Genomic DNA, 22,969 nt, shown 5'->3' on the forward strand with positions numbered 1-22,969 from the left:
ACACATTTGAGTGTACTCTTTTGTGATCTGGTTTATTTTACTCAGCATAATTATTTTGAGATTATCCATTTTGTTGCATATGTAAGTAGCTCATTCCTTCTATTGCTGAGTGGTGTTCCATCTCATGGATGCACCACCATTGTTTATCACGCATCTGTCCGTGGACATGTAAACTGTTTTCTATTTGCGGCTGTTAAAAATAAACTTCTGTGAACATTCGTGTACAAGTCTTCCTAAGGACACGCATTTCCTTTCCTGTTGGATAAATGCCTAGGCGTAGAATGGCTGGATCATATAGGAAATGAAAATTCAACTTTTTTTTTTTGAGATGGAGTCTCACTCTGTCGCCCGGACTGGAGTGGAGTGGCGCGATCTCGGCTCACTGCAAACTCCGCCTCCGCGGTTCACACCATTCTCCTGCCTCGGCCTCCCGAGTAGCTGGGACTACAGGCGCCCACCACCACACCAAGCTAATTTTTTCATTTTAGTAGAGACGGGGTTTCACCGTGTTAGCCAGGATGGTCTCAATCTCCTGACCTCGTGATCCACCCGCCTCAGCCTTCCGAAGTGCTGGATTACAGGCGTGAGCCACCATGCCCCACGAAAGTTCAACATTTTAAGAAACTCTCCATTTGTTTTCCAAAGTGTTTGTACCGTTTCACATTCCCACCAGCAATACACAGATGCTCCTGAACTACGATAGGGTTAGGTCCAAATAAGCCCATGGTAAACTGAAAATACCATGAATCAAATGATTTACAATACCCAAATAAATCCGTCAAGTTGAGGAGAGTACTGAATTTGTATAGCTTGTATACCATCATAATTTTGAAAAATCATAAGTTGAATCATGGACAAGGACTGTATAAGAGTTGTAATTCCTCCATATCCTTGGCAACATGATATGGTTTATTTTTTGCAATTCTAATAGGTGTGTATTGGGTATTGCACTGTAGTTTTGATTTCCCTAATTACTAACATTAAACATCTTTTCATATACTTCCTTTCCATTTGCATATTTTGTGGTGAACTGTGTTCAAATGCTTTGCTTGGCTTTAAAAAAAAAGTAGCTGAAATTGCTTGTTTTCTTATTGTTGAATTTTATCTTTTATTCTTTTTTTTTTTTTTTTTTTTTTTTTTTGAGATGGAGTCTTGCTCTGTCACCCAGGCTGGAGTGCAATGGCATGATCTTGGCTCACTGCAACCTCTGCCACCCAGGTTCAAGTGATTCTCCTGCCTCAGCCTCCCAAGTAGCTGGGATTATAGGTGCACACCACGACACCTGGTTAATTTTTGTATTTTGAGTACAGACAGGGTTTCACCATGTTGGCCAGGCTGGTCTTGAACTCCTGACCTCAAGTGATCTGCCCATCTCAGCCTCCCAAAGTGGTAGGATTACAGGCGTGAGCCACCACGCCCATCCTTTAACTATCTTTTAATCCACACAGAAGCCCAGAGCTCAAATCAGGGGCCCTGATATCTTCAACAAGGCCTGGCTCGTGGGTTTATGGCGCAGGTCTGAGGAGCTCCTGGCTCCACGTTTCCCACCGATCCCAGTGTCCTCGCCTCACCCAGTCTGGGGCATTCCGCTCGGGCTTTAGCAGGATGATGTAACATTTGGGGCAAAGATGCCACCCAGCAGCCCTGCCATGGAAGCCAGGATGGAAAAGATCTCCACGGCCACAGTGGACTTGCCCTGTGCGCTGTGGTACAGGGGCAGGAAGGTTGTCCAGAAGCTGCAGAACAGCAGCACGCTGAAGGTGAGGAACTTGGACTTGTTGAAGGCGTCTGGCAGACCCCTGGCCAGGAAGGCTACAAAGAAGGTGCCCCCAGCCAGGAGGCCCAGGTAGCCCAGCACACAGGAGAAAGCGACAGCAGAGCCCTCTCAGCACTGGATGACAATGTGGCTGGGCTCTGAGGCCATGTCCCCATCTGGGAATGGTGGGGAAGTGCCCAGCCAGATGCCACAGAGAACAACCTGCACCAAGGAAGCAGCAAGGACCACCGAGGTGGAAGCGCCAGGTCCCAGGCACACCCAGACCCTGTCACCTGGTGACCCTGAAGGCCAGGACGGAAGAGACAGCCATGGTGAACACAACAGCAACTGTGGTCTGGTAGAGGCGGCAGGTGGCAGCTGTGGGACAACCAAGGCAAGGCAAGGGACAGAGGGCACAGAGGGTCAGGGAGGTGAGCGGCGTGCAGCTGAGAGCTCTGTTGTTGGCCCCGACCACAGGTGTGTCTCGGTGCTTCAGAACAGTCTGAGGACCAGCACTGCCAGGCTGGCCAGCATGAGCGCCACCAAGGCGAGCATGAGTCCCAGGGGGTCGTCAAAGGCCAGGAAGGTCTCTGTCCTGGGCAGGCAGCCATCTCTGGTGCGGCTTGAGTACTGCTCCTCTGGGCACAGAAGACATCTCTTCGTACCTGTGGGAGACACACATCCCTGCGTCTGCCACAGGATCGTAATGACACCAGCCATGTGAAGGAAGGCTCCCTATGCACTAAACCAGCCTTACCAGCGTTTCACACCTATTCATTACTGATTGAAGGGGGCCTGCCCCTCCACACCTGTGGGTATTTCTCGCAAGGTGGAGACAAGAGACTGAGAAAAGAAATAAGACACAGAGACAAAGTGTAGAGAAAGAAAAGTGGGCCCAGGGGACCGGCACTCAGCATACAGAGGACCCACACCAGCAGCAGTCTGAGTTCCCTCAGTATTTATTGATCACTATCTCTACCATCTTGGCAAGGGGGATGTGGCAGGACTACACGGTAATGGTGGGGAGAGGGTCAGCAGGAAAACATGTGAGCAAAGGACTCTGTGTCATAAATAAGTTTAAGGAAAGGTGCTGTGCCTGTGATGTAACCAAGCAAGTTATAGAGAAACGCCACACTTTGAGACTAATTCAGGAGTCCTTTATCAGCCGGTGACCGAGAGATGGCTAGTGCTCAAAATTCTCTCAGCCCCGAAGAAGGGGCTAGATTTTCTTTTATACTTTGGTTTAGAGGAGGGGGAACCTAGCTGTAGCAATCTTACAGAAGTAAAGCAGGCAAAAAAAAAAGTTAAAAAGACAAATGGTTACAGGAAAACAAACAGTTCCAGGTACAGAGGCTTTAAATCCATCACAAGGTGATAGGTGCGGGGGCTCTGGGTGCTATCTGCCAGACACAAACGCGGGGGCTTTAGGGTACTATTACCCCAGTGAATTCCTGGCAACTGCAGACATAGCCTGCCACAGTACCTTATCAGTTAATTGCACTCTTTGATATGCTGAGAGTCAGCTTGCTCAAGTTAAGTCCTTGAGGAAGGGAGTGGGTAAGGAGCCCTTGAGGTCTTGCAAATGAAGGAGCTAAATGGAGTCCATCCAGCTTTCTCAGCTAAGAGAGAGTATTCATATTAAAACAAGGTATGGTATCACACCTGGATGTGCACGTAGGCCAGATTTATGTTTGACTTTACCCAAACACCTCAGTGCAGTAAAGAGCAGTACTGCCACCAGCATGTCTCACCTCCAGCCGTAAGACAGTTTTCTCCTATCCCAGTAAATGGAATGTACAATCAGGTTTTCTACCGAGACATTCCATTCCCAGGGATGAGGAGCAGGAGACAGAGGCTTTCCTCTTATCTCAAGTGCAAAGAGGCCTTCCTCTTTCACTAATCCTCCTCAGCATAGACCCTTTACAGGTGTCAGGCTGGGGGACGGTAAGGTCTTTCCCTTCCCACGAGGCCACATCTCAGGCTGTCTCAGGGGGGCAAACCTTGGACAATACCCAGGCTTTCTCAGGCAGAGGTCCCTGCGGCCTTCCGCAGTGCATTGTGTCCCTGGGTACTCGAGACTGGAGAATGGCGATGACTTTTACCAAGCATACTGCCTGCAAACACATGTTTACCAAGGCACATCCTGCACAGCCCTAACTCCATTAAACCTTGAGTCAATACAGCACGTTTCTGTGAGCACAGGGTTGGGGCTAGGGTTACAGATTAACAACATCTCAAGGCAGAAGAATTTTTCTTAGTACAGATCAAAATGGAGTTTCTTATGTCTTCCTTTTTCTACATAGACACAGTAACAGTCTGATCTCTTTCTTTCCCCCACAGATTTATAATTTTGAGATACCAGTGATGGGATGGGCCACATTAGATCCTGAGGCACAAGGAAAAATACACGCCCCGTATACATGTTTGCATGTTTTTTTAAAATGGTTAATTTTTTCCAAGTAGTAACAACAACTGCTCTTTTTGTTTTGTTGTTTGAGACAGGGTCTCACTCTTGACACCCAGGCTGGAAAGCAGTGGCTCGATCACAGCTCACTGCAACCTCCACCTCCCAGGTAAAGCCATCTTCCCCCTCAGCCTCCCAAGTAGCTGGAACTACAGGCATGCACCACCACACCCAGCTATTTTTTTTATTATTGTTTTTGTAAAGACAGGGGCCTCACCCTGTTGCCCAGGCTGGTCTTGAACTCCTGGACTCAAGCAATCCTTCCACCTTGGCCTCTCAAAGTGCTGGGATTACAGGTCTGAGCCACCACACTCGGCTGCACTCGGACTTTTGAACCATAAAAACTGTGAGATAAGAAATGTGCTTTGTTTCATACGCTTGTGGTAATTTGTTAACAGCAGCTATAGAAACTAATGCAGGGAGCAACTGGGCATTGCCTACACTCACAGTGGGAGTGTGAACTGGAAGCACCACCAGTGTCTGTTAAAGCCACAGGTATGGCCTGGCATGGTGCCTCATGCCTATAATCCCTGCACTTTGGGAAGCTGAGGCAGGAGGATTGCTTGAGCTCAGGAGTTCAAGAACAGCCTGGGAAACATAATGAGTCCCTGTCTCTATAAAAATAATTTTTTAAAAAATTAGCCAAGCATGGTGGGGTGGCATGTACGTGTAGTCCCAGCTACTCGGGAGGCTGAGGTAGGAGGATCTCTTGAGCCCAGATCAAGGCTGCAGTGAACCACGTTCACACCACTGCACTCCAGCCTGGGCAACAGAGTGAGACCTCTTCTCAAATAAAAGAAAAAAAAAAGCTGCAGGTATGTCTACCTGTGGCCCAGCAATGCCACACCCAACAGAAATTCACCTGTATGTCCCCAAAAGACACAACAATGAGACACGGCTCATTGCAGCCGCTGATCAGCAGGCTTCTCAAATCCCCCATCCCTGTTGGAGTGGATGAAGCAGCCGTGGTGCGTCCGCACAATGGGATCTCACCAGTCATTAGAACAAGAGATCCACAACCACACATAACCACCACTAGGATGAATCTCACAAACAACTGGGAGGAAAAAGCAAGACACAAAAGAACACTCACTGTGTGATTCCACTTATAGGACGTTTAAAAATCAAGCAAAACCCACTGACACCAATAGAAGTCAGGGCGGTGGATGGGTCGCAGGGAGAAGACAATGGCTGGGAGGGGTATGAAAGCTTCTGGGAGGGCCAGGTTGTGCCCTGTTTCTTGATGAGAGGACCAGGGACACGGAATGTTTGCCAGGTGAGAATTCATTGGGCTGCACGCTTATGATCTATGCATTTGTCTATATATTTCAATAAAACATTTACCTAATAATAATGACCTTTATTCATTCTCTTTCAGCCACTGTTAATAATAAGTGCCGAGACCAGCTCAGTCGGGGAGACCCTAACCTAGCGGTGCTAGAGGAATTAAAGACACACACACAGAAATACAGGGGTGTGGAGTGGGAAATCAGGGATCTCACAGCCTTCAGAGCTGAGAGCCTCCAACAGAGATTTACCCACATATTTATTGACAGCAAACCAGTGATAAGCATTGTTTCTACAGATTATAGATTAACTATGTGTTTGGCAAAGTGTATTCACTGGGCAGATCCTGGAATACTGACACACTGAAAAATACTACAGAAAAAACTCCTGATGGAGACTCTGATTCAGCTTGTGTGACACTAATATTTTCATTTTGGGTGGTGAGCAAATGTCTTTCCTCACTCAGAGAAGGGCTCAGTATCCCTAAACAGCATAGCTGAGTTATGACTGGCCTAATTTAGAGCTGCACCAACTTCATGTACCAAATAGGGACACCGCTGGCCTCTGTGCTTCCCTCTGACTCGAATACACCAGAACTGGGATCATTTCTGCACCCTGGAAACTGACCTAGAGGTCCTCCTTTGTCACATGCACTGTCATTCTGTCTCCCAGAGGGGCTCACGGGTTGACTATGCCTATGTGGACAAAGTGGAATCAGCCCTCAGTGGTCTTCTGTCCATAGACAACATCAAATTCTGTAATTAAATCTCCGTTGGCATCAAACATGATCTCTGTCCCATCAGGGGTCTTGAAATGCACGTTCTTGAGAGGACGAAGCAGCTGGGGAAGGATGGATGACACTGTAGATGGGCAGGGCCAGTCCCAGGGCCTGTGCAAAATGCATCAGGTCCTCAGCCACCGTGGTGAGCAGGGGCTGCCTCAGGCAGGGCCAACGTATCCATGAGGCACGGGAGACCCAGGGCTGTGATATTTGCAGGGTCCCATGAAAATGTTCTAATGTTAACTGCTTGTAAAAGCAAAGAAAAAAATTAAAAAGTAATTAATGGGCCATGCACGGTGGCTCAAGCCTGTGGTCCCAGCACTTTGGGAGGCCGAGGCAGGCAGATCACGAGGTCAGGAGCTCAAGACCAGCCTGACCAATATGGTGAAATGCCGTCCCTACCAAAAATACAAAAATTAGCCAGGCGTGGTGGCTCACGCCTGTAATCCCAGCCACTCAGGAAGCTGAGGCAGAAGAGTCACTTGAACCCGGGAGACGGAGGTTGCAGTGAGCCAAGATCATGCCACTACGCTCCAGCCTGGGCGACAGAGCAAGACTCTGTCTCAAAAAAAAGTAATAATGAACATATAATAATGAGTCCAACCCAGGATATATTCATCTTTAGACCAAGGCAATGGTAAAATTGAATTAAGAATTTTTTTTTCCACGGAGGAAGGAACGCACAAAAGCCACAGTGTGGCCCCTGCTCCAGGGATTCCGTCTGAGCAAACACTTCCTCCTTGGCCTTCCCATCACACTCCAAGTGGAGTAAAATCCTGGCGGGACCTACACAGGTCAGTCCCTGAACACCTAGACATCCTGATCCCTCAGTCACAAACCTAGCATGGACTTAAGACCCCTCATCCTGGCCAGGCATGGTAGCTTATGCCTGTGATCCCAACACTTACCCCAAAGTGGACAGATCGCTTGAGCCCAGAAGTTTGAGACCAGCCTGGGCATCATGGTGAAAATACAAAAATTAGCTGGGCGTGGTGGTGCATGCTTGTAGTCCCAGCTACTCGGGAGGCTGAAGGATCGCTTGAGCCCAGGAGGTTGAGACTGCAGTGAGCTGTGAATGCATCACTGTATTCCAGCTTGAACAACAAAGCAAGGCACTGTCTTAACACAAAACAAAACAAAAAATTCCTCAGCCCGGCACGGTGGCTCATGCCTGTAATCCTAGCACTTTGGGAGGCCAAGGTGGGCAAATCATCTGAGGTCAGGAATTCAAAACCAGCCTGACCAACATGGTGAAACCCCATCTCTACTAAAAATACAAAATTAGCCAGGCGTGATGGCACATGCCTATAATCCCAGCTACTCAGAAGGCTGAGGCAGAAGAATTGCTTGAACCCAGGAGGCAGAGGTTGCAGTTAGCTGAGATCACACCATTGCACTCCAGCCTGGACAGAGCGAAACTCCGTCTCAAAAAAAAAAAAATCTTCGTCCAGTGCTCCTGCTAAGATGTGGCTTAGGGCTGTGAATACAAGATATCCTCACTGAGGAGCACTGCCCCTGTCCTCCCCACCAGGAGACCAAGTGAGTTTCCTGCTGTCTCCCCTTCCCTGAATCATCTACTCCACAGTTTGTTTTTGAGACAAGGTCTTACTCTGTTGCCCAGGCTGGAGTGCAGTGGCACCATCATGGCTTGCTGTAGCTTCAACCTCCTGGGCTCAAGCGATCCTCACACCTGAGCCTTCCAAGTAGTTGTGACTAGAGGCGTGCACCATCACGACTTTTTTTTTTTTAAAGATAGTCTCGCTCTGTCACCCAGGCTGGAGTGCAGTGGTGTAATCTCGGCTCACTGCAAGCTCTGCCCTCCCAGGTTGAAGGAATTCTCCTACCTCAGCCTCCTGAGTAGCTGGGACTACAGGCGCCCACCATCACGCCTGGCTAATTTTTTGTATTTTTAGCAGAGATGGGGTTTCACTGTGTTAGCCAGGATGGTCTCGAGATCTCCTGACCTCGTAATCCACCTGCCTCTGCCTCCCAAAATGTGGGGGTTACAGGCGTGAGCCACTGTGCCCAGCCCATGCTTGGCTGATTTAAAAATTTTTTTGTAGATTCAGTGTCTTACTGTGTTTCCCTGGCTGATCTTGAACTCCTGGGCTCGAATGATCCTCCCACATTGGTCTCCCAAAGTACTGGGACTACAGGCGTGAGCCACCATGCTCAGCCCCACTCCACACGTTCGCCTCTCACCAGCCAGGGCTGGAAGTCCCAGGCATCGGCACACCCCTGGTCCCCATGCTTGCAGCCTGCCAGGGCCTGGGCGATGGCATAGACCACTGTGTAGGCGATGTGTACTTTGCTTTCCTTCTGGAAAGGGTAGTGCTCAACCCTCAGACTCTCATTTCCTGAGCAGAACTGGACTCCTGCAGCCGCTGTGCTTTTCCCTGCTGGCCCCCAGCTGCTATGGGGCTATGTGCACTTGAAGGTGACCTCCCAGAATCTCCATATGAACATGTCTTCTGGGGTCCTGGCAAGGCGCAGGGAAGTCGGGGGGCTGGCTGTTGCAAAGCAGGAGGCTGAATGAGCCCTGCAGAACCCAGAAGGCACTGGCACAGTCAGGACCAGCGCCATGTGCAGAGTGTCCCAGCTGACACAGACCTGGCCCAGGATGCCTCGGCCTGCCAGGCACTGCAGGATGAGTCTGAAGTGCTAGCTGTTAAGGAAAACCAGGATGATGGTGGCCGTACAGTTCTCCATCAGCCAGATGATGTTTTTCATCTTCAGGGACTCCCGGGTGGGGATGCAGAGTTGGAATTCAATGCAGACCCCAGCCTGGCCCAGCTCCTGGACGACCAGAGACCTGCCCTGCAGCTCAAAGTCGTCCCCCTGCGCCAGGACGCTCACCCAAGACCATCGGAAGTGAAGCATCAGCTGCACCACTGCATGGGTGGTCGTGAGGTGACTGAGCAGGGTCTGAAAGAAGGATGGGAACTGGGTCCTGTCGCTGAGGCTGGCCAGTGTGGAGGAGGGGCTGACCTGTGCAGGAAGAGGCCAGGGCAATGGGGAGGGGTGAGGAGCAGCTCAGGCACCTGCTGACCACCAGGTTCAAAAGAAAGCCAGGTTGACCCACACGTCCCTGGTGGCCCTGGGTGTGTCCCCCAATTTTGTCACTGAAAGCTCACACCTATAATCACAGCACTGAGAGGCCAAGGCGGGCAGATCACTTGAGGTCAGGAGTTCAAGACCAGCCTGGCCAACAACATAGTGAAACCCCATCTCTACTAAAAATACAAAAATTAGCCAGGCATGATGGTGGGTGCCTGTAATCCCAGCTACTTGGTAGGCTGAGGCAGGAGAATCGCTTGAACCCTGGAGGCCGAGGTTGCAGCGAGCCGAAATCGCACCACTGCACCCTAGCCTGGGTGACAGAATGAGACTCCGTCTCAAAAAAAAAAAAAAATTCCCACATAAGTCTGGGCATGGTGGCTCACGTACATCCCAGGGCTTTGGGAGGCCAAGGTGGGAGGACTGCTAGAGCCCAGGAGGTCGAGACTAGCTTGGGCAACACAGTATGACCCCCTACTCTAAAGAGACACACACAGAAAGAGAGACACACACACAGAGAGAGAGAGAGAGAGACAGACACAGAGACACACAGAGGAAGAGACAGACAGAGACAGACAGAGACAGAGACAGAGAGACAGAGTCAGACAGAGAAACAGGAGGGAAGGCAGGCAGGAAGGGAAGAAGGGAGGGAGGGAGGGAGAGGAGGGAGGGAGGGAGGGAGGGATGGAGGAGGGGAGAGAGAGCGAGCCAAGCAGGCACAGAAAAAAAAAAAAAGGAGAAAAGGAAAGGAAGAAAGAAAAAGGCCAGATGTGGTGGCTCACACCTGTAATCCCAGCACCTTGGGAGGCAGAAGTGGGCAGATCACTTGAGGCCAGGCTGGTCTCAAACTCCTGACCTCACGTGATCGGCCTGCCTCAGCCTCCCAGAGTGCTGGGATTACAGTTGTAAGCCGCAGCACCCAGCCCCAAGGAATAATTGAACTTAATGTTCATTCCTCTCGTTTTGCCCACTTCAAACTTACGTTTCTGCTCCTTTGCCAAGCTGGGTTTTTGTTTGTTTTTTTTGAGACAGGGTTTTACTGTCACCCAGGCTAGAGTGCAGTGGCAGGAACACAGCTCACTACATCCTCCACCTACTGGGCTCAAGAGATCTTCCTGCCTCAGGGGACTACAGATGTGCACCACCCACCACCCCCAGTTAAAAAAAATTATTTTGTAGAGATGGGGTCTATGTTTCCCAGCCTGGTCTTAAAATTCCTGGGCTCACGTGATCCTCCTGCCTCAGCAGGCCTGGGGATCCGATTCTAGTTCCGGTTTGCACAGCGCCGACAACTCTGGGGCTACAGGCTGGAGCCACCGTGCGGGGCCTGGGATTCGGACTCTAGTTCCGGTTTCCACAGCGTGGACAACTCTGGGGTTACAGGCTGGAGCCACCATGCCGGGCCTGGGGTTCGGATTCTAGTTACGGTTCACACAGCGCGGACGGACAGTTCTTCACTGGCAGTGGCAATGACTCGGAACCTACTTGTGTTGTTTGGCCACGCTGTGATCTTTGTCAGTTTTTGCCTGCTTGTCGATTTGCCAATGAAGAGACTACTCTTCGTGCCCCGGAAGATAAAGTTCTATGAAATCGGGGTCAACGAGGTTTTGTGTCTGTGTTTGCTTCTGACCTGTGGCTGAGGCACAGGATGAAACTGCTCGGTCTCTGGGGTCTGTTGGATCAGAGACTTTAACACGCTCCTCGTGTGGGTGCAAAACATTCTCCTACCGCCAGAGGGTAGTAAGGAAATAGGCTATGCAAAGGTTATGGGGTCTGAACGGAACGGTGCTCTGGTCTGATTGGTTTACACAGACCCATAAGGCTGACGCAACAGGTAGAGCTAACAGATTTGAAAATAAAAAAACAGGATACCCAATTAAGTTTAAATTTCAGATAAATTCATCTAATATTTTAGCATAAGTATGTCTTGTATGTCCTGTGCAATATTTGGGACCAAATTCTACTAAAAAGGACTATTCATTGTTTATCTGAAAACCAAATTTCACTGGGGGTACTGTTTTATCTGGCAACCCTACAGGTACAGGAAAACAGCTTCTTGAGCTGCAGTCAAGAAATGCAGTTGCAGCTGCACGCAGTGGCTCATGCCTGTAAACCCAACACTGGGAGGCTGAGGTGGATCACAAGCCCAGGAGTTGCAGGCCAGCCTGGGCAACACAGGGAGAGTTTTGTTTTGTTTTGTTTTGTTTTGTTTTAAAAAAGGCCAGGCGCAGTGTCTCACGCCTGTAATTCCAGCACTTTGGGAGGCTGAGGCGGGTGGATCACCTGAGGTCAGGAGTTTGAGACCAGACTGGGCAACATAGTGAAACCCCATCTCTACTAAAAATACAAAAATTAGCCGGTCATGGCGGCGGGCACCTGTGGTCCCAGCTACTTGGGAGGCTGAGACAGGAGAATTGCTTGAACCCAGGGGGCAGAGGTTGCAGTGAGCCGAGATCGCACCACCGCACTCCAGCCTGGGCGACAAGAGTCAGACTTCGTCTCAAAAAAATTCAAAAAGGAAAAAAAAAATTGAGTCTCTAATCCTTTAAATGTGCTTGAATTAAAAGGAAAGAAAAGAAAGTCTACATATAGAAACTTCTAGTTCAGAAGCATTTTATGTAAGAATCCAAGTGGGAAGTAATCAAGGTGAATTCTTGGAAAAAAATCAGCCTGGCTTGATACTTTGGGGTTAAAAGCACCTAGAATAGCTATGCGGTTATTTGCAGAGGTTCTATAGAAATCAACTCTCCTTTTTATCAGGATAGGACTGGACTAAATTGATCGTACGATCAAGCCCATACCTGAAGTGTCACACCTCAGAATAAACTCCCCAATACATGACAACCCACCCTGAAGGAGTAAGGGGTGAAGGGGTGAGCTTTCTTTGTGGCCCCAACATTCACACCGCCCCAGGAAAACCCTTCCAACCTGTTCTGTGATTTACAGGGCCCCCTGCTTCACAGGTAGGAAGGCAGGCCTCTCCCCCAGCAGGCCAGCAAACTTTGCAAATTTAAGGCGTTCAAGGGCAGAGGAATCCTGTAAACCCAAATTTACAGGTTTCTCAGTGGAACATGAATCTATTAAATTGGACTCGTCATACAATGCTGGTGGGAATGTAAAATGGTGCGCTGCTTTGGAAAACACTCCAGCAGCTCCTCAGATAGTTAATCATAGCATGAACATTTGGCCCAGAAATTCTACCCATACAACCAAGAGAATTGAAAACACACTGAACATACACACAAAAACGGATACATAAATGTTCATAGCAGCCCTATTCACAGTAGGCCCAAAATGGAAACAGTTCAAATATACATCAACTAATAAATGGATACACACGACATGCTCTATTCATACAACGGATTTTTAAGACAGGGTCTTGCACTGTTGCCCAAGCTGGATTATAGTGGTACGATTATAGCTCACTGCACCCTTGACCCACCCCCCCCGCCCCCCGACTCAAGTGATTCTCCTGCCTCAGCCTTCTGAGTACCCAGGACTACAGCTGCATGCCACTAATTTTTTTTTTTTTTTCCTGTAGAAATGGAGTCTCCCTATGTTGCCCAGGCTGGTCTTGACCTCTTGACATCAAGCAATCCTCCCACCTTGGCCTCCCACAGGGCCACTATACCCAGCCTATGATGGAAAATTAATCAATAGAAGGGAACGACGCTCTGACACAGGCTGCAACGTGGATGAACCTTGAAAATATATTTAGTGAGAAAAGCCAGTCACAAAGGACCACACAGCGTATGATTCCGTTTATAGGAAGTATCCAGAAAAAGCAAATCTGTACAGACAAAACATACATTAGTGGTTGCCGGCAGGTGGAGCTGATGGAAACTGCTGGCTAAAGGGGTTGGGGTTTCCTTGTGGGGTGATGAAAATGTTCTCAAATTGGCTGTGGGGATGGCTACACAACTCGAACATACCAAAAGCCATGAGTGAGTTACGCGGTATGTGGATTATATCTCAGGCCGGAGGACTGCTTGAGCCTAGCAAATCGAGGCTGCAGTGAGCCGTGATCATGCCACTGCACTCCAGCCTGAGCGACAGAGACCCCATCACTAAAAAAATTAAAATGCCCCAGCACAGTGGCTCACACCTGTGATCCCAGCACTTCGTGGGGCCGAGGTGGGCAGATCACCTAAGGACAGAAGTTCCAGACCATCCTGGCCAACGTGGGGAAACACCGTCTCTACTAAAAATACAAAAATTAGCCGGGAGGTGGTAGGGGGCGCCTGGAAACCCAGCTACTCGGGAGGCTGAGGCAGGAGAATCGCTTGAACCCGGGAGGCGGAGATTGCAGTGAGCTGAGATCGTGCCACTGCACTCCACCCTGGGAAACAGCAAGACTCCATCTCAATACACCCACATACATACATAAAATAAACAGAAAAAAAAAGTTGCCTCTAGACATAGCTACTATTATGGGAATGACACCCGAGGGCCTGAGAGTCAGGAGGCCCCAGCGGGGCGGGGCCGTGTGGAGGCTGGCGGCACAAGCCCTATGGCCTGGACTCAAAACCCAGCTTCAGCGCCCCAGTGCTGGGTGAGCTGCAACGTGTCACTGCTAGTTCCCTCAATCTCAGTGTCCTGGTGAATGCAGCAGCGATCACCATTCTCTTACAGAGAGGTCATGGTGAGGGGGAGGATGGCGTCAGGCTGTAGGGCATTGGCGGGGAGCCAGGACCCTCCGTGGTAGGGCCTCAGCGTCACCCCCATTGTGGCCAATACCACAGCAAATATTAGGGGAGGGTACGGCTCTGAGTACTTACCTGGAGAAACCTGTAGAGTCCCAGGAGCCTGGCCATTGGCATAGACAACGCCAAGCATGTTTCTCCAAAGCAGCTCCGAGAGCGCTGGGCCCAGACGTGTAGCTGGGGATGGGCTCCTCCTGCCCGGTGAGAAAGCTCATGGTCTCATGGAGTGCTGCGTGCACGAAGTCCCCCTGTGTCCAGAATTGGTTCCTTCCAGTGGGTTCTTGGTGTAGCTGACTTCAACAATGAAGCTGCGGACCCTCACGGCGAGTGTTACTACAGTTCTTATCTGGAGTTGTTCATTCCTCCCGTTGGATTCGTGGTCTTGCTGGCTTCAGAAGTGAAGCCACAGACCTTCGCAGTTAGTATAACAGCTCATAAAGGTAGTATAGACCCACAGAAAGAGCATCAGCAGGATTTATCGCAAACAGCAAAACAACAAACTTCCACAAACTGGAAGGAAAGCCCAACAGACTGCCACCGCCGGCTCGGGTGGCCTGCTTTTATTCCCTTATCTGGCCCCACCCACATCCTGCTGATTGGTCCATTTTACAGAGCACTGATTGGTCCGTTTTACAGAGAGCTGATTGGTCCGTTTTGATTGAGTGCTGATTGGTGCGTTTACAAACCTTTAGCTAGACACAGAGTGCTGATTGGTGCACTTACAATCCTTTAGCTAGACAGAAAAGTTCTCCAAGTCACCACCCTACCTGGAAGCCCAACCGGTTTCACCTCTCACCCAGAGTTCCGGATGGAGAAGCCCAGCCTGAGGCTGGGGAGCAGGTGGGCGTCCCTGTTGATCTCCTCCATGGCAAATGTGAATCCTTGGGCTTCCCAGTAGCCCCAGGTGGAAACGCTGAGGGAAGGAGAAGCCCAGGCTTACCGCATGCTGTAGCTGCAGAGGCTATGGCTTATGCACACTCAAAGGGGATGAGGCCACAAGTCTCCACAAGCGCTTGTGCACGATGTAGCCTATACATCAGACTTGACATAACTACATCTTAGCAAAAGACTCCATTTTATATTTCATAGGACACTCTGCCATCAAGGATAGGATGTTCTGTTTATTAAACAACAAAAAAAAAAGACTGCACCTAACCAGGTAAGGACACAAGCACACTCTTCCACTGCCAGTTCTCACCAGGGGACTACTAGGTGACTATAAAAGATTAGGCCTTCTCGGGCACGGTGGCTCATGCCTGTAATCCCAGCACTTTGGGAGGTCAAGGCAGGAGGATCACTTGAGGTCAGGAGTTCAAAATCAGCCTGGCCAATGTAGTGAAACCCCATCTCTAATAAAAATACAAAAAAATTAGCCGGGCATGGTGGTGTGCACCTGTAATCCCAGCTACTCGGGAGGCTGAGGCAGGAGAATCACAAGAACCCGGGAGGCAGAGGTTGCAGTGAGCCGAGATCGTGCCATTGCACACCAGCCCGGGTGACAGAGCAAAACTCTTGTCTTAAAAAATAATAATAAAAGAAAAAGAAAATTAGGCCTTCAGGAGCTCAAAATGGCTGTTTTAACTGACACTGTTTTGCAGTCACTCATGATAACTCAGCCTCTGTGGCCAAAGGCTCTGCCACCTCAAAGACTTCCTTGCAGGATGGCAGACCACCGACCTCACAGACCACCCACCCACCGCCTGGCCCAGACCAGGATGCCTTTTGTCTTCTTCGCTGCCTCTGAACTGGTTCCTTAACTCTTTCTCCTATCTCTTTTTTCTCTTGATGTTAAATGTCACTTTGTTGGTTGTGGAATGTTTAACCTATAACATTTCTATATTAAGTATACTATTATGTATGGTTTGCAATATTAACTGCTTGTGGAGTGGCTTGAGCCTCCGTGCCTGTGGCTCTGACTACCAAGTGAATGAGAAGCACAAGGGATAATTGGCTCCTTGGGAACTCCATGTAGCTCATGGCTTTTGTGATTGAAATAACATCAGTAGGCCGGGTGCGGTGGCTCACGCCTGTAATCCCAGCACTTTAGGAGGCCAAGACGGGCGGATCACCTGAGGTCAGGAGTTCGAGACAAGCCTGGCCAACATGGTGAAACCCCGTCTCTACTAAAAATTCAAAAATTAGCTGAGCATGGTGGAGGGTACCTGTAATCCCAGCTACTCAGAAGGCTGAGGCAAGAGAATCGCTTGAACCTGGGAGGTGGAGGTTGCAGTGAGCAAAGATCACACCATCGCACTCCAGCCTGGGGGCAAGAGCGAGACTTTGTCTCAAAAAAAGGAAAAGAAAAGAAAAGAAATAACATCAGTAAACACTTGACATTGCGGAAAGACACGAACGTGTGGACCTGGTTATCTCTGACCTTGCACTGATCATGACATGTGCATAGCAAAATGGGCAGAACAGCCAAAAAGGGGTGGGGGGCGGGGGGTAGGACATGTTGGTCAAAGGGCTCCAAGTTTCAGTTAGACAAGGAGGAATAGGTTTCCAGATCTATTGCACAGCATGGAAACTGTAGTTATCAATAATTAATGTATATTTCAAAACTGCAAAAAGATCATATCTTAAATGTTCACATTGCAAAAAATGATAAGGATGTGAGGATATGGATATGTTGATTAGCCCAATTTAATCATTCCATAATGTATACATATATCAAGACATCATATTGTACCCCATAAATATATACAATTATTATTCATTGATTAGAAAAAATAACCTGGCAACATCAAGTGATGGCAAGTGGAGTGATTGGAAGTCTTGTGTATGTCTGGTGAGAATGCAGAATGAAATGGTTGCTTTGGAAAACATTGTGGCAATGTTTAAATAAAGGTAAACAGGCCAGCCATGGTGGCTCTAGCCTGTAGTCCCAGCACTTTGGGAGGCTGAGGCGGGAGGATTGTTTGAACCCAGGAGTTAGAAACCAGCCTAGGTCACAACGTGAGACTCTGTCTCTATAGAAAATGAAAAGTAAATAAAAAATTAAAAAATTAGCCGAGTCTGGTCTCATGCATCTGTGGTGCCAGCTACTCAGAAGCTGAGGTGGGAGGATCACTTGAGCTGGGAGGTCAAGGCTGTAGTGAGCTATGATTGAGCCACTGCACTCCAGCCTGGGCAGCAGAGCCAGACCCTGTCTCCAAAAATAAAATAAAGTAAAATGATAAACATATTCATTTTTTAAAAAAGAAAAAAATCACCGGAGGGACTATGTGAAGAACTGTCCGCAGAGACAGTTTGGGAACCTGGGACAGAAATGGGTGATGGCACACACAGGTAAAGAGAAATTCCCTGGGCTGATCAACTCATGAAGAGATTTGTTCATTCCACAAACACTTGTTCATTCAACAAACACACTTACCTGTGCCTGGCGCTGCTCTAAGCGCCAAGGGTTGGCGGTGGACAAGAGAGGGGAGAATCTCTGCCTCACCTGTGCAGTCGCTGCAGCACAATGAGGAGACAAGCAACCCATGCTTCAGACACAGACAGAAAGCAAGAAGGAAAAACGGAGTGAGGTGCTAAGGCAGGGCCGGTGAGACAGGCTGACCAGCATCCAGACAGACAGGATGAGTCCCGGCCATCCAGGAGGGATTCTGAGAATCAGCTGCTGCCTGAGGCTTTAGAAGGACACTCCTGAAGGTGCCCAGCCTTCAGGGGCTCTCCACCAAACACCCTGGTAGCTGCTTACCTTGAAGACTCCAAGCCAGCTGGTGGAGCAGTGAAATCAAACAGGGTGATGTTGTACAGGTGGAAGATGGAGAAGCTGGCCCTGACCACCACATCCCCTGGACAGTCAAAGCGGGGGCTCTTCCCTGGCAACCGCCAGCCTATTGGGCCAGAAACAGCAGCCCCAGAGAGAGATCCCACAAGGGCGGGAAGCAGAGAGCACAGCAACATGTCTGTGGTGTGCTGACAGCCAGCAACGGCAGCCCCCGTGTGGGCTGCTTCCAACAGTGATGGGGGGCTTTCATCTGGGAGCTCACCCCTCAATCCAGGACCTGGGGGCTGGGGACACAGATGGAGCTCCAGGCATCCAGGCCCTGGGAGAACAGTGGCCACTCAGTCCCAGGGCCATTAAAACTTGTACTTCCTCCTCCTGTGGTTTCTTTGTCTCTGCCCAGGCCAGGGGTAACAGCCCCCAGGCCTCATCTGCAGACTTCAGAGAGGGAGGTTGATGAGTCCTGACTGTGTCCTCAGGGACTCTGCAAACCCAGGAGCAGCTGCACTTAGGGTCCCCAGGTCACTGGTTTTGGAGAGGCCCAAGGAGGGTACAAGAGGCGAAGACTCTCCTGAGCCCTCCTGCCTCAGTTGGCAGTGTTTGGAGATAGGGACATCCCCAGAGCTTCAGTGGCCCTGGGTTAACACCTCCTGCCTGGGGGCTCCCAGAGGGTCCCAGGCAAGGGTAAAGCATGTTCAGCCCCCAGAGGGCTGGCCCAGGCTAAGCTGGTGCGTTTCTGTGGTCAGGAAGTCCAGTTCCAGGCGGAGGGTGGAGGGTAGGCTGCAAAGTGACTCCCTAACATAGTGCTTACAACCCCAGGAGATGCGGCTGTGAGGCAGGAAAATAGAGGGAATTGGAGGTTAAATAAAGGGCAAACTGAGTAAAAGCAGAAGCAAGGTGAAGGGACAGGTAAGCAAAAAGCAAAATATGGGCAGGTGCAGTGGCTCATGCCATAATCCCAGCATATTGGGAGGCGGGGGCAGGCAGATCACCCGAGGTCAGGAGTTCAAGACCAGCCTGGCCAACATGGTGAAACCTCATCTCTACTAAAAATACAAAAATTAGCCAGGCATAGTAGCACACGCCTGTAGTCCCAGCTACTCAGGAGGCTGAGGCAGGAAAATGACTTGAAGCTGGGAGGTGGAGGTTGCTGTGAGCCGAGATCACCCCACTGCACTCTAGCCTGGGCAACACAGCAAGACTCCATCTCAGAAAAAAAAAAAAAAAAAAAATTCCAGACCTTATCACTTTGGAGAAAATACCACACTAAAAAGTGAACTGAGGAGGCTGGGCGTGGTGGCTAACGCCTGTAATCCCAGCGCTCTGAGAGGCCGAGGCGGGCGGATCACGAGGTCAAGAGATCGAGACCATCCTGGCCAGCATGGTGAAATCCCATCTCTACTAAAAATACAAAAATTAGCTGGGCGTGGTGGCACATGCCTGTAGTCCCAGCTACTTGGGAGGTTGAGGCAGGAGAATTGCTTGAACCTGGGAGGCAGAGGTTGCAGTGAGCCAAGGTCGTGCCACTGTACTCTAGCCTGGGTGACAGAGCAAGACTTAGTCTCCAAAACAAACAAACAAACAAACAAAACAACAACAACAACAACAAAAAACCTCACCACGTTCTTGATTTGTGTGTCCCTGATCACTAACTAGTCAGATGGGACTTTTCTTCACATTGGTTAGCCCCATGTATGTAAGAGGGTAGTATCTTTCTAAGCTTGGGGTAGGCTTGGTGAGCTTTTTTTTTCCTTTTTTATCTTTTTTCTTTTCAGAGATGAGGTCTCACTCTGTCGCCCAGGCTGGCAAACTCCTGGGATCAAGCAATCCTCCCACCTCAGCCTCCCAAGTAGCTGGGACTACAGGCATGTGCCACCATGCCAGGCTAATGTTTAAATTTTTTGTAGAGATGGGGCCCAGTTCCATCTGGAGTTGATTTTTGAGTGTAAGGGGGTGACATTCGGTCTTCCTTAGAAAGGTTCAAAGAGGGGTCCTTCAAACTGGGATTCTAGGTCTTCTCCCATAGCTTCAACTCAAACAGTTCTGCATTTTTTTTTAGACATGAGGTCTCACTCTGTCACCCAGGCTGGAGTGCAGTGGCAATGCATCATAGCTCACTGCAGCCTTGAACTCCTGAGCTCAAGTCATCCTCCTGACTCAGCCTCCCGAGGAGCTGAGACTACAGAAATAGCCACCATGCCTGGCTGATTTTTCTATTTTTTTGTAGAGACGGGGTTTCGCCATGTTGCCCAGGCTGGTCTCAAACTCCCGGGTTTAAGGGATCCTCCCACCTTGGCCCCACAAAATGCTGGGATTACAGGTGTGAGCCATTGCACCTGGCCAAAATAACATTTTTATTGAGATATAATTCACACAGCATAAAATTCACCCTTCTTTTTTTTTTTTTTTTTTTTTTGAAATGGAGTCTCACTCTGTCGCCCAGTCTGGAGTGCAATGGCACAATCTCCACCCACTCACCCACTGCAACCTCTGCCTCCCAGGTTCAAGCAATTTGCTTGCCTCAGCCTCCAGAGTAGCTGGGATTACAGGTACCCACCACCATGCTCAGCTAATTTTTTAAATTTTTTGGTAAAGACGGGGTTTCACTATGTTGGCCAGGCTGGTCTTGAACTCCTGACCTCAAGTGATCTGCCCACCTCAGCCTCCCAAAGTGCTTGGATTACAGACGTGAGTGACTGTACCCAGCCGAACCTTTTACAGTTCAGTAGTTTTTGGTACATTCTCCAGATTGTGCGATCATCACTGGAATCTAATTCCAGCATCTTTTCATCGCCCCCAAAAGAATTCCCCTTGCCCCTTCTTCTAGCCCCTGGCACCCATAACAGTTCTGCTTTTAGCTGATTTACTTTTAATTGGGATTTCGAGTAAGATTTAATTTGGGACAAAGATTTCTACTGCTTAAAAAAATTTTGGTCCGGGTACGGTGGCTCATGCCTGTAATCCCAGCACTTTAGGAGGCCGAGGCAGGTGGATCACCTGAGGTCAGGAGTTCAAGACCAGCCTGGCCAACATGGTAAAACCCCGTCTCTACTAAAAATACAAAAAAATTAGCTGAATGTGGTGGTGGGCACCTGTAATCTCAGCTACTCTGGAGGCTTAGGCAGGAGAATCACTTGAACCCGAGAGGTGGAGGTTGCAGTGAGCCAAGATCACGCCTTTGCACTCCAGCCTGGGCAACAAGAGCAAGACTCTTTTTAAAAAAAACAAAACAAACAAACAAAAAAAAACTGAAACCTCTGCTAGACACCAGGCTGCCTCCCAATGGATCTAGAGTTACCAGGTGGCCTATGATGGTGTCTAGATCCAGACTCTAGAGACAGACTAAGTCAGTGTTCTCTCAAGGGAGATTTCCCAAATGGGTGGCAGTTATAAATGCACACATGAGCCTTCACTGCCCCAAAGGGCCACGCCAATTTCAGCTACCAAGAAAATGAACCATGTCATTACAAGTGCCTAATTTTCAAGAAGGAGAATAATAAGCCCTTAGCACCCTAATTTGGTTTTCCCATAGTGGTTTCTGCACAAAGTGGCATTCACACACAACATTCCAGGGACCAGCCGCCAGCAGCAAAGATGCGGAGACACGGCTCTGATTATCCAGCTGAGGCAGCCCCTCCCCTCCCTGCCACTCCTGGGACTCTTAATCTCCAGGCCTCGTTTTATTTTATTCTAGGTATTTATATTTCCATGAAGCATCTGCTTTGTTTACTGGTGTTTGCCCCATGAACATGGGCTTCCAAGGGACTAAAGCCCTATCAGTCCCTCTCACTGATGTGCTCCCACCCCAGTGTCCAGAACAGTGCCTGGTACACATAGGCCCTCAATAAACAGCTGTCCAGCAGATGCTGGACCCCCTGGAGGTGGGTCCTCCTCTCTTTTCTTAGCTCACACTCTCCTGCTTCTTCTTCAGCAATGAGCAGCTTCAGCTATCCTGAGCTCAGTCCCAGAGCTGAGGACCCTCCTTGCATCATGATCTCACCCCCACCTGATTTCAGATACAAAACGAGTATCTGTGGAACCCTACTATTCTGGCACATGGTTACATTGTAGACATTAATATTAAAACTTATTTATATGAAATGTTCTTATGTAAGGTTTCGTTAAAGTATATGAAATATAGGACACATTGATACTAATTCCTTGTTTTTCTTTTTCTTTCTTTCTTTTTTTTTTTTTTTTTTTTTTTTTGAGACAGAGTCTCACTCTGTTGCCCAGGCAAGGCTGGAGTGCGTTGGCAGGTCTCGGCTCACTGCAACCTCGGCTTCCCCAGTTCCAGCGATTCTCCTACCTCAGCCTCCCGAGTAGCTGGGATTACAGGCACGCACCACCATGCCTGGCTAATTTTTGTATTTTTAGTAGAGACGGGGTTTCACCATGTTGGCCAGGCTGGTCTGAAACACCCGACCTCAGGTGATCCGCCTGCCTCGGCCTCCCGAGTTCTGGGATTACAGGCGTGAGCTATCGCGCCCGGCCTCCTTGTTTTTCTTGAGTTTACATATAACTGAGGTTTCTTTTTTCTTTCTTTTTTTTGGGGGTGGGGGGACGGAGTCTCGCTCTGTCACCCACGCTGGAAAACTGGAGTGCAATGGAGCAATCTCGGCTCACTGCAACCTCCGCCTCCCCGGTTCCAGTGATTCTCCTGTCTCAGCCTCCTGAGAAACTGGGATTACAGGCATGCGCCACCACGCCCAGGTAATTTTTGTATTTTTAGTAGAGACGGGGGTTTCACCATATTGGTCAGGCTGGTCTCGAACTCATGACCTCGTGATCCGCCTGCCTTGGCCTCCCAAAGTGCTGGGATTACAGGCGTGTCACCGCGCCCGGCCGACGTCCTGTATTTTTATTTGCTAAGAGTGGCGATCCTAGTCTGGGACATACTTGTACTAAACATATTTATATTAAAAACAATGTTTTAACATACTACTCTTGGACACTGTATAAAACGGTTGCGTGTCTGGAATGCCGTCGTTTTGCCCCGCGGCCCCATCGTACATGCGCATCCCCGCAGCCGCCACCGTCTCCACTTTCCGCAGCAGCGTCCCTGACGCTGCGCGACCCGTTGCCAAGGCGACTGGAACCGCGGCCCGAGGTAACTGGAGGGCACGGCGGGGGCGGGGCGCTCATCCCAGGCGGCTTCTGATTGGCCTCGGCCGCCTCGTGCGTCACAGCC

General features: G+C 49.5%; 1 pseudogene across 1 annotated transcript; it reads right to left on the minus strand.

Annotated features, from left to right (window-relative positions):
* Positions 1 to 1,079: 1,079 nt before the first annotated feature.
* VN2R19P (vomeronasal 2 receptor 19, pseudogene) lies at positions 1,080 to 14,584 on the minus strand (annotated as a pseudogene). The gene is made up of 2 exons (NR_171678.1): positions 14,124 to 14,584; positions 1,080 to 2,421 (listed from the first exon to the last, which is right to left on the minus strand). The product of NR_171678.1 is annotated as a vomeronasal 2 receptor 19, pseudogene (transcript).
* Between the last annotated feature and the right edge of the window lie 8,385 nt (positions 14,585 to 22,969).

Source organism: Homo sapiens, chromosome 19 (assembly GCF_000001405.40).
Source record: "Homo sapiens chromosome 19, GRCh38.p14 Primary Assembly".
Classification (NCBI taxonomy): Eukaryota; Metazoa; Chordata; class Mammalia; order Primates; family Hominidae; genus Homo; species Homo sapiens.